The sequence below is a fragment of the Homo sapiens genome, chromosome 12, assembly GCF_000001405.40.
Source record: "Homo sapiens chromosome 12, GRCh38.p14 Primary Assembly".
Taxonomy (NCBI): Eukaryota; Metazoa; Chordata; class Mammalia; order Primates; family Hominidae; genus Homo; species Homo sapiens.
This window is the reverse complement of record NC_000012.12, coordinates 102,827,235-102,841,174: the sequence shown is the minus strand read 5'-3', so window position 1 is coordinate 102,841,174 and position 13,940 is coordinate 102,827,235. Positions and strand designations below refer to the sequence as shown.

The window sequence follows — 13,940 nt, the reverse complement described above, 5'->3', positions numbered from 1 at the left end:
TTCCTTCCCAGCTGCATAACTTACTGACAGTATGGCCTTAGTAGTCACGCAGCCTTCCCAAGCCTGTTTCCTCATCCATAAAATGGGTATAGCAATGGTGCCTTTCTCCTAAGGTTTTTGTGAAGGTTAAATAAGGAAGGATATTTGTAAAGAGCATTGGACAGTTAGAACTTAACATAGTTCTTGGAACATAGAAGGTACTCCATCAATGTTAAATTTCATTATTAACATAGTGCTTTCTTCACCACTTGAGAGCTATTTCCCTCTGCATTGATTGTCAACCATTTCAGAGCTTTTTTCCCTCTATATAGCATTCTTTAGCTAGATTTTACTTACTCTTGATTTTATTTAATGATAGGAGTTTGTGGCTTTATTGTATTCAGTAGTTTCATTGTAAGCTATCTCTGTCTTCTTGGAGCCAGGGGACTAAATAAACATGTGTATATATGTGTTTGTACATACACATACACACATACAGAGGCTTCCCAAGAAGACTCATTAAAACTCCATTCCCCCCGCCTCAGCCCTGGCTGTTGAAGACCCTGCTCTAGGGAGGTGTCCGTGTTCCTAAAAAAGAAGTAAAATGCCACTGAGAACTCTCTTAAGACTACCTTTCTCCAAATGGTGCCCTTCACTCAAGCCTGTGGTTTTGGTCTTAGGAACTTTGCTGCCACAATACCTCGGCCCTTCTCAGTTCGCTACGACCCATACACCCAAAGGATTGAGGTCTTGGACAATACCCAGCAGCTTAAGATTTTGGCTGATTCCATTAACAGTAAGTAATTTACACCTTACGAGGCCACTCGGTTTCTCAGTAATCGAAGACTGTCTTTCCCTACCATCGCCATAGGAAAAATAATAAATTTATTGAAATATTTAATTAAGGAGAAAAGCACCTCCATGTAAGCCATGGGTTCATTGATGGAGAAGAACTTGACAAAAAGGTCAGAATTACCCTTGTGTCCTTTTTCCTTTGACCTTCCTAGATTCCACTCCACCTCCTACCATCATTCCACCTTTCCACACTTGGTCTGTCACTGCCATGTTCCTTTTTCTCCCTCGCCTCTCCATCCCTTCTACGCTAAGTGTCCAGTTGTTATCACTCTGCCTGGTTCTATCCACTTTATAAGCTGTCCAGTGGCTCATCTGTTGGCCTTCCACTCTTCCTTCATAATGAGAATATTATAATAATTGCCCTTAAGAATATCACAGGGTTACCTCATTTATCACCTGATTATCTCTCTAGCCCTTCATACTCTCTTCCAGCAACACTGATCAATTTTTAGTTCTCATGCTCTTTCCAGACTCCTAACCCTTGCCCATGCAGTTGTTTATGTTTAAAATGTTCTCCTTTCCAATCTCATTTACCTGGTATGTGAAGACATAGCATAAATGGAAGGCTGCATCACACCTTCATCCAGTGATCTTGCCATCTAGACTGAGTTATCTGCTTAGACCATGGATTCTAAAATTTGAATGTGCATCAGAATCAAATGAAAAGCCAGCTAAAAATTAATAGCTTTGAGTCATAGCCAAGGCTAAATTTACCAAATTTGTGATAACTTTTGGGAGTTTATAGACCTCAGGTGATTCTGACACTAGAGTTTTGTGTGAACCATACTATTAGGTTCAATGATTTCGCTTCTTGTAGCATATGCAGATGGTAATGTAAAAGAGAAATGGAACAGCTAATGATTTGCCTGGGGAGAGACCTGTTAAGTCCTTCCCTGGGAAGTGACCTATGGAAAAGGGATGCTGATTACATTAATGGCTCTGGCATTTTCTAAAACATGCAAGTACTTATACCATAATGAGGCTGTAAGCTCCTTGAAAGTTGGGGTGGCACCCAGCTCATCCAAGAAGCCCACTTATCCCCTAGTGCTTTGCACTGAGGACACTTGAAGAGTTTTTGCTTATTATACAAGTGGCCCATTTTGATGGTGTTTTTCTTTGTAGGTGAAATTGGAATCCTTTGCAGTGCCCTCCAGAAAATAAAGTAAAGCCATGGACAGAATGTGGTCTGTCAGCTGTGAATCTGTTGATGGAGATCCAACTATTTCTTTCATCAGAAAAAGTCCGAAAAGCAAACCTTAATTTGAAATAACAGCCTTAAATCCTTTACAAGATGGAGAAACAACAAATAAGTCAAAATAATCTGAAATGACAGGATATGAGTACATACTCAAGAGCATAATGGTAAATCTTTTGGGGTCATCTTTGATTTAGAGATGATAATCCCATACTCTCAATTGAGTTAAATCAGTAATCTGTCGCATTTCATCAAGATTAATTAAAATTTGGGACCTGCTTCATTCAAGCTTCATATATGCTTTGCAGAGAACTCATAAAGGAGCATATAAGGCTAAATGTAAAACACAAGACTGTCATTAGAATTGAATTATTGGGCTTAATATAAATCGTAACCTATGAAGTTTATTTTCTATTTTAGTTAACTATGATTCCAATTACTACTTTGTTATTGTACCTAAGTAAATTTTCTTTAAGTCAGAAGCCCATTAAAATAGTTACAAGCATTGAACTTCTTTAGTATTATATTAATATAAAAACATTTTTGTATGTTTTATTGTAATCATAAATACTGCTGTATAAGGTAATAAAACTCTGCACCTAATCCCCATAACTTCCAGTATCATTTTCCAATTAATTATCAAGTCTGTTTTGGGAAACACTTTGAGGACATTTATGATGCAGCAGATGTTGACTAAAGGCTTGGTTGGTAGATATTCAGGAAATGTTCACTGAATAAATAAGTAAATACATTATTGAAAAGCAAATCTGTATAAATGTGAAATTTTTATTTGTATTAGTAATAAAACATTAGTAGTTTAAACAATTTCACTGTTTCAGTTATTTCCTGGAATGAAATATTCCTCTCACTGCCTTAGAAATACATTAGCTAGATAGTTTTGTAACATGAGAAAATGGCCAGAGGCTCATATCTCCAACCCTTTGCAGGGGCTCCTTGTGACACTCAAAGTCATGCCTGGACAGTCAACGGACTTTGACTTTTGTTGATTGTGTGTTTGCCATGAAAACATGAATATCTGAGAAGCAGTGGGGAGAAAAAAAACAATATCTTTGTAGCTATGATTTGAAATTCTCATACTACTTTACATTTTATTTTGGAAATAGTTAAGTCTTAAAGAATTTGCATAGTGTTTCTTTGAGTTTAGTTCTCAGAACAGCTGTAGTATCATCAACAGCAAATTCTGGGTACCTTCCCAGCTCCACCCAATTTGAATCTCTGAAGATAAGGCCCAGAGACCTGTATTTTTAAGTACCCCATTTTTTTAATTATTCATAGCCAAATTCTATCAGGTACATTCAGTTTGAGAAAACCTGATTTGTGGTGGTCAGTCTGCCACTGCCAATGATGTCAATGTGGATAAGCTGTTTCCCTTCTTTAGACCTCAGTGTCACTCTAACAATGAGGGAGTTAAACTTTATAAACCAAGGTCCATTGCAGCCTTGAAATATGATTCAAGTGTTCATATGTGTCTTTATATAGCTATGCCTGATCCACTGATGGGGTGTTACAATACCTGCTTATATATGCCAGCTGGGAGGAAAGAGGAATTTACTGAATGTGTCTGAAGTTTCATTGTTTTGAAGTTGGAATTTTATGCCTGTATCTATGTTTATGCCTTTGTAAAACCCACTGATTTTAAAAGTGAAAAAGGACTTTTTTCTCTGCTTTTACTCTAAACACCAAACAATCCCTGCAAAGGGATTATTCTGATGTTTCTTCATTTCACATGAAAAGTTAATTATTGACTCTGGAACTTAAATATTAGATAATATTTTTGACAATATTGAAGAGTGAGTTTTAGTCCAGTAAAGATGTTTTAATGAGCTTGAAGGTAAAGTTTCGGTTAAGTTATGATTTTCACAGGAAGTTACATACTGAATGAAAGATAATATTTGTATTTTTGGTAATGTGCTACTCAGTTCTTAGCTCTTTTTTATCCAGATATAAAAGCCCAGTCTATAGCTATGGGATTTAATAAATTTCCAATATGTAAGTGTTTTTATTTGTTTAATTTCTAGTAAATGAGCAATATTTTAGAAACAGTATCAGTCTTTACTGACAGATGATCTTGCTGAGTACAATCAAAATAAATACATAAAAAATTCTAAGCATGTGGCATTGATGTTTAATAAGTTTCTGAAAGTAGGAATCTGAATTTTAACTGTAGGTTTCTAAGTTATATAATTTAGTTGTGTTTCAAAAAATCCACCAATAAAATGTCAGCTTTATAAAAACAGAAACCTTGACTTTATTTTCACCTCTAAAACCATTAGCACTTAGCCCATAATAGATGCTCAATAATTTATTTTAAAACAGTTGCTGTGTGAGCTGCATCACAGGGAAGGTAGCGAAAATTGTTTATCACAAATAAACTATTGTGTAAGAAAAGTTTAGAAACAACTAAATTTGTAATTTTTTCTTTTAAAAGTTATCAAAAATTTATAAATTAGACAAAATAGTGATTTTTTTTGAGATGGAGTCTTGCTCTGTTGCCCAGGCTGGAGTGCAGTGGCATGATCTCGGTTCACTGCAACCTCAGCCTCCTGGGCTTAAGCGATTCTCCTGCCTCAGCCTCCCAAGTAGTTGGGATTACAGGCATGCACCACCATACCTGGCTAATTTTTGTATTTTTAGTAGAGATGGGTTTCGCCATGTTGGCCAGGCTGGTCTTGAACTCCTGACCTCAAGTGATTCACCCGCCTCAGCCTGCCAAAGTGCTGGGATTACAAGTGTGAGCTACCATGCCCAGACAAAATTGCAATTTTTTTAAAAGAAAGATATTACCCCTTATATCTAGTTTAGACTAGATTATGGCTAGTTTGTATTTATGCTGCTTGGATAATAACTGCACTATGGTAAGTGCTTAATAAATGTTTGTTGATAAATAAAGATAAAAAATTATACCAGTGAAACTTCACAGTTGTCCATGGTCAGGCTGAAATGCTCAGAAAGCATTTAGTGACTTCTCTAACATTTGCAAAAAAAAGAAAAAAATCATCGAGGAAACAAAATTAAGAAAGTATATAAAAATGTATTTATTTTGCAAAGGAAAGATTAAAAATGTGTTTAAAGTATCTTCTTCCCAGTAAAGTGTGTATGCACCCTCAACACACACACACATACACACACACACACACACAGATGGTCACTGTCTTTTAATAGATTTCCTGTGAAGTTTCGAAAGTAAAATTGCTTGAAACTTGAAAGTTGCTAAGAGTAGATTTTAATGTTCTCACCCGCCAAAAATATAAATATGTTATGTGATGGATATGCTAATTACCTTGATTTAATCATTTTACAATGTGTGTGCACATATATGTATATGCATATGTACGTATGCACATATATGTATATGCATATGTACGTATGCACATATATGTATATGCATATGTACGTATGCACATATATGTATATGCATATGTACGTATGCACATATATGTATATGCATATGTACGTATGCACATATATGTATGTGCATATGTACGTATGCACATATATGTATGTGCATATGTACATAGGCACATATATGTATGTGCATATGTATGTATACATATAAATGCATATATGTGCATATCTATATATGTATTGCACACATATATATACACCACATTATACACCATAAATATATACAATTTGTATTTGTGAATTTTAAAACTTTCTTTTAAAAAGATGTGCTTCTCTGAGAGATGGGATTCTTAAGTTTCCAAGAAAACATTACTAAAGAAATCATAACAGCCTTTTAATTTTTTAATTTGCCTAAATGAATAAAAGATAAACAGCAATTAAGCTTGAACTGCAGTACTTATTTTTCTTTAGATCATTCTTAGGTGGTACACGATGTCCAGAGGAAGTAAGTGGATCAGCATCTTTCATTGATGTTATTAAAATTTGTCTAAACTTTGGATGCCTTTAATTTGCTATTCCTAGAAGTAGACATAAATTAAGGAACATCTATTTTAAAAGAAAGAAACTTAGTCCTCTTTGAGGTCTCTTTATTCCAAAGGGTTCTCAAACTAATGTTAGCTGGACCTGTCTTGTCCCACAATCTTACCTTGCAAATGTAAGGTAAGTGAATGAGTTGTGTCAAAGGGATAATTTTTATCTTTCCTTGTGAGCGGTCTGGGGAGGATGGAATTTGGATTTAGAAACGAAGGACTAAGATGTATGTTCATTTGTAACTTTGAGTCTCTCCCTCATGTCTCTCTTTTCAAAAGTGTGGATTTCTTTGAGAAGTCATTTATTCTATCACCACTCCCCTCCATTCCTCCAACCTCTCAGAGGCCATAGATAGGGCTAAGTTGAGGAATTCATCAGCAAAGGCACAGAGCAGCTGGCCCTTTCCCTAAGACCCACCCTGCCATATATTGGAGTAGAACACATTTTAAAGCTGTTCATTAGAGAGTCACCAGGCATCAAAATCATCCCAAAGCAAAAAATTAGCTTGGAACAACTACTTTGCTTGCAAAAGGTAACTGTTGGTCTAGAAAGGCTTCCCAGCTCTGGCAACACCCAAATACTGCTTCTGCCCACCTTCCCCAAATCTGTGAAGATAAACTCTGTTTCCTTGGCCTAACAAAATAAATCAAGTTTGAGAGTGAAAAAGGAGGAAGCAGAAACTTTCCCAAACTTTCTGTTCCTAGAATGTCCTTGGGAAAGCCAAGGAGGCAGGAGGCTGTCTTTGAAGTCACTCTTGTGAAAAATAACTACTAATTTTCCCGCATGGAATGCAGCCTGGAATTACACAATAGAGGTTTTGTGACTGTGAAGTGCCTTGTGCCTTCTAAGACAAGGCACCTCAGCCTGGGGCAAAGACAGAGGAGCAGACTATACATGCCTTCCAGAGTGGAGATTCTCAGCACCGAGGACAGCACCCACATTTGTTGCCAGTACTGAGGGCAGGGAAGTGGATGGTAATCCTGAAAACCTTTATTAATTAATTAATTTATTTATTTATTTATTTATTTATTTATTTATATTTTGAGACAGAGTCTCGCTCTTGTTGCCCAGGCTGGAGTACAGTGGTGCGATCTTGTCTCACTGAAACCTCCGCCTCCCGGGTTAAAGCGATTCTCCTGCTTCAGCTACCCAAGTAGCTGGTATGTGACATGACTCCTGGCTAATTTTTTGTATTTAGTAGAGACAAGGTTTCACCATGTTGGTCAGGCTGGTCTCGAACTCCTGCCTCAGGTAATCCACCCGCCTCGGCCTCCCAAAGTGCTGGGAGCCAGCATGCCTGGCTGAAAGCCTATCTTTTAATGGAGCAAGAGTCAGGCATGGAAAGAGAATGAGTTTGTACAAACACCAGGAAACAAGATGATGACAATTATTTTGTTTACAGGAAACTTTGAATAAATTTTGGCTGCATAAAGACAGAATGAAAAAGTGTGCCATTTATCTCCTTAATGACAATGTCCAATGTCTCACATTTTACACAGACAAAAATCAGGCACCATTTTTTTTAAAAGAAGCAGTACACTCCTACATGTTACAATATAGGATAGAGATAGAAAGATGTAGCATCTTTCAGGAGACTGCTCTGGTGATCCCAATTCAAATGGCAGTTTTTCCATCAAGCTGAACTTACTTAAATAGACTCTTAATCTCCCCAAGTCTCAATTTTTTATCTGTAAGGTGGAGAAGATGCATGTCTATCTTATAAGGTTGTCACAAAGATCAAACAACATATTGTGTATATGGAAGCTCTCAATCACTTCCAATATTACATAACAATTTTAAATATTTATTATTCTTATTCAAAGCACAAATGGGCTCTAATAAGTCTTGGTTATTATTACTCTGATCATCTTGGTCCAGCAACATAATCCCAACTGACCACTCTTTCCAAAGAGATGACAACTGTAGAGAAGCTTCCAGTTGAGAAAAGAATTTTAATTAAAGTAGAATTTAGAAATGTGGGGGGGAGGAGCCAAGATGGCCGAATAGGAACAGCTCCAGTCTACAGCTCCCAGCGTGAGCGACGCAGAAGACGGTGATTTCTGCATTTCCATCTGAGGTACAGGGTTCATCTCACTAGGGAGTGCCAGACAGTGGGCGCAGGTCAGTGGGTGCGCACACCGTGCGCGAGCCGAAGCAGGGAGAGGCATTGCCTCACTCGGGAAGCGCAAGGGGTCAGGGAGTTCCCTTTCCAAGTCAAAGAAAGGGGTGACGGACGGCACCTGGAAAATCGGGTCACTCCCACCCGAATACTGCGCTTTTCTGATGGGCTTAAAAAACGGCGCACCACGAGATTATATCCCACACCTGGCTCGGAGGGTCCTACGCCCACAGAGTCTCGCTGATTGCTAGCACAGCAGTCTGAGATCAAACTGCAAGCTGGCAGCGAGGCTGGGGGAGGGGCGCCCGCCATTGCCCAGGCTTGCTTAGGTAAACAAAGCAGCCTGGAAGCTCGAACTGGGTGGAGCCCACCACAGCTCAAGGAGGCCTGCCTGCCTCTGTAGGCTCCACCTCTGGGGGCAGGGCACAGACAAACAAAAAGACAGCAGTAACCTCTGCAGACTTAAATGTCCCTGTCTGACAGCTTTGAAGAGAGCAGTGGTTCTCCCAGCATGCAGCTGGAGATCTGAGAACAGGCAGACTGCCTCCTCAAGTGGGTCCCTGACCCCTGACCCCCAAGCAGCCTAACTGGGAGGCACCCCCCAGCAGGGGCACACTGACACCTCACACGGCAGGGTATTCCAACAGAACTGCAGCTGAGGGTCCTGTCCATTAGAAGGAAAACTAACAAACAGAAAGGACATCCACACCAAAAACCCATCTGTACATCACCATCGTCAAAGACCAAAAGTAGATAAAACCACAAAGATGGGGAAAAAACAGAACAGAAAAACTGGAAACTCTAAAAAGCAGAGCACCTCTCCTCCTGCAAAGGAACGCAGTTCCTCACCAGCAACGGAACAAAGCTGGATGGAGAATGACTTTGACGACCTGAGAGAAGAAGGCTTCAGACGATCAAATTACTCTGAGCTACGGGAGGACGTTCAAACCAAAGGCAAAGAAGTTGAAAACTTTGAAAAAAATTTAGAAGAATGTATAACTAGAATAACCGATACAGAGAAGTGCTTAAAGGAGCTGATGGAGCTGAAAACCAAGGCTCGAGAACTACGTGAAGAATGCAGAAGCCTCAGGAGCCGATGCGATCAACTGGAAGAAAGGGTATCAGCGATGGAAGATGAAATGAATGAAATGAAGCGAGAAAGGAAGTTTAGAGAAAAAAGAATAAAAAGAAATGAGCAAAGCCTCCAAGAAATATGGGACTATGTGAAAAGACCAAATCTACGTCTGATTGGTGTACCTGAAAGTGATGGGGAGAATGGAACCAAGTTGGAAAACACTCTGCAGGATATTATCCAGGAGAACTTCCCCAGTCTAGCAAGGCAGGCCAACGTTCAGATTCAGGAAATACAGAGAACGCCACAAAGATACTCCTCGAGAAGAGCAACTCCAAGACACATAATTGTCAGATTCACCAAAGTTGAAATGAAGGAAAAAATGTTAAGGGCAGCCAGAGAGAAAGGTCGGGTTACCCACAAAGGGAAGCCCATCAGACTAACAGCAGATCTCTCTGCAGAAACCCTACAAGCCAGAAGAGAGTGGGGGCCAATATTCAACATTCTTAAAGAAAAGAATTTTCAACCCAGAATTTCATATCCAGCCAAACTAAGCTTCATAAGTGAAGGAGAAATAAAATACTTTACAGACAAGCAAATGCTGAGAGATTTTGTCACCACCAGGCCTGCCCTAAAAGAGCTCCTGAAGGAAGTGCTAAACATGGAAAGGAACAACCGGTACCAGCCGCTGCAAAATCATGCCAAAATGTAAACACCATCAAGGCTAGGAAGAAACTGCATCAACTAACGAACAAAATAACCAGCTAACATCATAATGACAGGATCAAATTCACACATAACAATATTAACTTTAAATGTAAATGGACTAAATGCTCCAATTAAAAGACACAGACTGGCAAATTGGATAAAGAGTCAAGACCCATCAGTGTGCTGTATTCAGGAGACCCATCTCACGTGCAGAGACACACATAGGCTCAAAATAAAAGGATGGAGGAAGATCTACCAAGCAAATGGAAAACAAAAAAAGGCAGGGGTTGCAATCCTAGTCTCTGATAAAACAGACTTTAAACCAACAATGATAAAAAGAGACAAAGAAGGCCATTACCTAATGGTAAAGGGATCAATTCAACAAGAAGAGCTAACTATCCTAAATATATATGCACCCAATACAGGAGCACCCAGATTCATAAAGCAAGTCCTGAGTGACCTACAAAGAGACTTAGACTCCCACACATTAATAATGGGAGACTTTAACACCCCACTGTCAACATTAGACAGATCAACTAGACAGAAAGTTAACAAGGATACCCAGGAATTGAACTCAGCTCTGCACCAAGCAACCTAATAGACATCTACAGAACTCTCCACCCCAAATCAACAGAATATACATTTTTTTCAGCACCACACCACACCTATTCCAAAATTGACCACATACTTGGAAGTAAAGCTCTCCTCAGCAAATGTAAAAGAACAGAAATTATAACAAACTGTCTCTCAGACCACAGTGCAATCAAACTAGAATTCAGGATTAAGAATCTCACTCAAAACCACTCAACTACATGGAAACTGAACAACCTGCTCCTGAATGACTACTGGGTACATAACGAAATGAAGGCAGAAATAAAGATGTTCTTTGAAACCAACGAGAACAAAGACACAACATACCAGAATCTCTGGGACGCATTGAAAGCAGTGTGTAGAGGGAAATTTATAGCACTAAATGCCCACAAGAGAAAGCAGGAAAGATCCAAAATTGACACCCTAACATCACAATTAAAAGAACTAGAAAAGCAAGTGCAAACACATTCAAAAGCTAGCAGAAGTCAAGAAATAACTAAAATCAGAGCAGAACTGAAGGAAATAGAGACACAAAAAACCCTTCAAAAAATTAATGAATCCAGGAGCTTGTTTTTTGAAAGGATCAACAAAATTGATAGACCGCTAGCAAGACTAATAAAGAAAAAAAGAGAGAAGAATCAAATAGACACAATAAAAAATGATAAAGGGGATAACACCACCGATCCCACAGAAATACAAACTACCATCAGAGAATACTACAAACACCTCTATGCAAATAAACTAAAAAATCTAGAAGAAATGGATAAATTCCTCGACACATACACTCTCCCAAGACTAAACCAGGAAGAAGTTGAATCTCTGAATAGACCAATAACAGGCTCTGAAATTGTGGCAATAATCAATAGCTTACCAACTAAAAAGAGTACGGGACCAGATGGATTCACAGCCGAATTCTACCAGAGGTACAAGGAGGAATTGGTACCATTCCTTCTGAAACTATTCCAATCAATAGAAAAAGAGGGAATCCTCTCTAACTCATTTTATGAGGCCAGCATCATCCTGATACCAAAGCCTGGCAGAGACACAACAAAAAAAAGAGAATTTTAGACCAATATCCTTGATGAACATTGATGCAAATATCTTCAATAAAATACTGGCAAAACGAATCCAGCAGCACATCAAAAAGCTTATTCACCATGATCAAGTGGGCTTCATCCCTGGGATGCAAGGCTGGTTCAATATACACAAATCAATAAATGTAATCCAGCATATAAACAGAGCCAAAGACAAAAACCACATGATTATCTCAATAGATGCAGAAAAAGCCATTGACAAAATTCAACAACCCTTCATGCTAAAAACTCTCAATAAATTAGGTATTGATGGGACGTATTTCAAAATAATAAGAGCTATCTATGACAAACCCACAGCCAATATCATACTGAATGGGCAAAAACTGGAAGCATTCCCTTTGAAAACTGGCACAAGACAGGGATGCCCTCTCTCACCACTTCTATTCAACATAGTGTTGGAAGTTCTGGCCAGGGCAATTAGGCAGGAGAAGGAAATAAAGGGTATTCAATTAGGAAAAGAGGAAGTCAAATTGTCCCTGTTTGCAGACGACATGATTGTATATCTAGAAAACCCCACTGTCTCAGCCCAAAATCTCCTTAAGCTGATAAGCAACTTCAGCAAAGTCTCAGGATACAAAATCAATGTACAAAAATCACAAGCATTCTTATACACCAACAACAGACAAACAGAGAGCCAAATCATGAGTGAAGTCCCATTCACAATTGCTTCAAAGAGAATAAAATACCTAGGAATCCAACTTACAAGGGATGTGAAGGACCTCTTCAAGGAGAACTACAAACCACTGCTCAAGGAAATAAAAGAGGATACAAACAAATGGAAGAACATTCCATGCTCATGGGTAGGAAGAATCAATATCGTGAAAATGGCCATACTGCCCAAGGTAATTTACAGATTCAATGCCATCCCCATCAAGTTACCAATGACTTTCTTCACAGAATTGGAAAAAACTACTTTAAAGTTCATATGGAACCAAAAAAGAGCCCGCATCTTCAAGTCAATCCTAAGCCAAAAGAACAAAGCTGGAGGCATCACACTACCTGCCTTCAAACTATACTACAAGGCTACAGTAACCAAAACAGCATGGTACTGGTACCAAAACAGAGATATAGATCAATGGAACAGAACAGAGCCCTCAGAAATAATGCCGCATATCTACAACTATCTGATCTTTGACAAACCTCAGAAAAACAAGCAATGGGGAAAGGATTCCCTATTTAATAAATGGTGCTGGGAAAACTGGCTAGCCATATGTAGAAAGCTGAAACTGGATCCCTTCCTTACACCTTATACAAAAATCAATTCAAGATGGATTAAAGACTTAAACGTTAGACATAAAACCATAAAAACCCTAGAAGAAAACCTAGGCATTACCATTCAGGACATAGGCATGGGGAAGGACTTCATGTCTAAAACACCAAAAGCAATGGCAACAAAAGACAAAATTGACAAATGGGATCTAATTAAACTAAAGGGCTTCTGCACAGCAAGAGAAACTACCATCAGAGTGAACAGGCAACCTACAAAATGGGAGAAAAATTTCGCAACCTACTCATCTGACAAAGGGCTAATATCCAGAATCTACAATGAACTCAAACAAATTTACAAGAAAAAAACAAACAACCCCATCAAAAAGTGGGCAAAGGACATGAACAGACACCTCTTAAAAGAAGACATTTATGCAGCCAAAAAACACATGAAAAAATGCTCATCATCACTGGCCATCAGAGAAATGCAAATCAAAACCACAATGAGATACCATCTCACACCAGTTAGAATGGCAATCATTAAAAAGTCAGGAAACAGCAGGTGCTGGAGAGGATGTGGAGAAATAGGAACACTTTTACACTGTTGGTGGGACTGTAAACTAGTTCAACCATTGTGGAAGTCAGTGTGGCGATTCCTCAGGGATCTAGAACTGGAAATACCATTTGACCCAGCCATCCCATTACTGGGTATATACCCAAAGGACTATAAATCATGCTGCTATAAAGACACATGCACACGTATGTTTATTGCGGCATTATTCACAATAGCAAAGACTTGGAACCAACCCAAATGTCCAACAATGATAGACTGGATTAAGAAAATGTGGCACATATACACCATGGAATACTATGCAGCCATAAAAATGATGAGTTCGTGTCCTTTGTAGGGACATGGATGAAATTGGAAATCATCATTGTCAGTAAACTATCACAAGAACAAAAAACCAAACACCGCATATTCTCACTCATAGGTGGGAATTGAACAATGAGAGCACATGGACACAGGAAGGGGAATATCACACTCTGGGGACTGTTGTGGGGTGGGGGGAGGGGGGAGGGATAGCATTGGGAGATATACCTAATGCTAGATGACGAGTTAGTGGGTGCAGTGCACCAGCATGGCACATGTCTACATATGTAACT

The 13,940-nt window shown here is 38.9% G+C and overlaps 1 protein-coding gene across 2 annotated transcripts in view, besides 2 other annotated features; it reads left to right on the top strand.

The window, feature by feature from the left end:
* PAH (phenylalanine hydroxylase) overlaps positions 1 to 4,286 on the top strand; it is a 121,553-nt gene extending 117,267 nt beyond the window's left edge. For both annotated transcript variants that reach the window (NM_001354304.2, NM_000277.3), the window contains 2 exons: positions 660 to 775; positions 1,957 to 4,286. In NM_001354304.2, coding sequence (NP_001341233.1) covers positions 660 to 775; positions 1,957 to 2,000 — 160 coding nt within the window. In that variant the 3' untranslated portion in view covers positions 2,001 to 4,286. The remainder of the gene's footprint in view (positions 1 to 659; positions 776 to 1,956) is intronic.
* Positions 1,468 to 1,969: an enhancer, noted in NCBI's record as "NANOG hESC enhancer chr12:103232984-103233485 (GRCh37/hg19 assembly coordinates)". NCBI's record gives its function as "activates a minimal SCP1, AML or CMV promoter by ChIP-STARR-seq in primed H9 embryonic stem cells {active_cell/tissue: H9 hESC(primed)}" and the evidence as "EXISTENCE:reporter gene assay evidence [ECO:0000049][PMID:30033119]".
* Positions 8,149 to 8,694: an enhancer, noted in NCBI's record as "NANOG-H3K27ac-H3K4me1 hESC enhancer chr12:103226259-103226804 (GRCh37/hg19 assembly coordinates)". NCBI's record gives its function as "activates a minimal SCP1, AML or CMV promoter by ChIP-STARR-seq in naive and primed H9 embryonic stem cells {active_cell/tissue: H9 hESC(naive and primed)}" and the evidence as "EXISTENCE:reporter gene assay evidence [ECO:0000049][PMID:30033119]".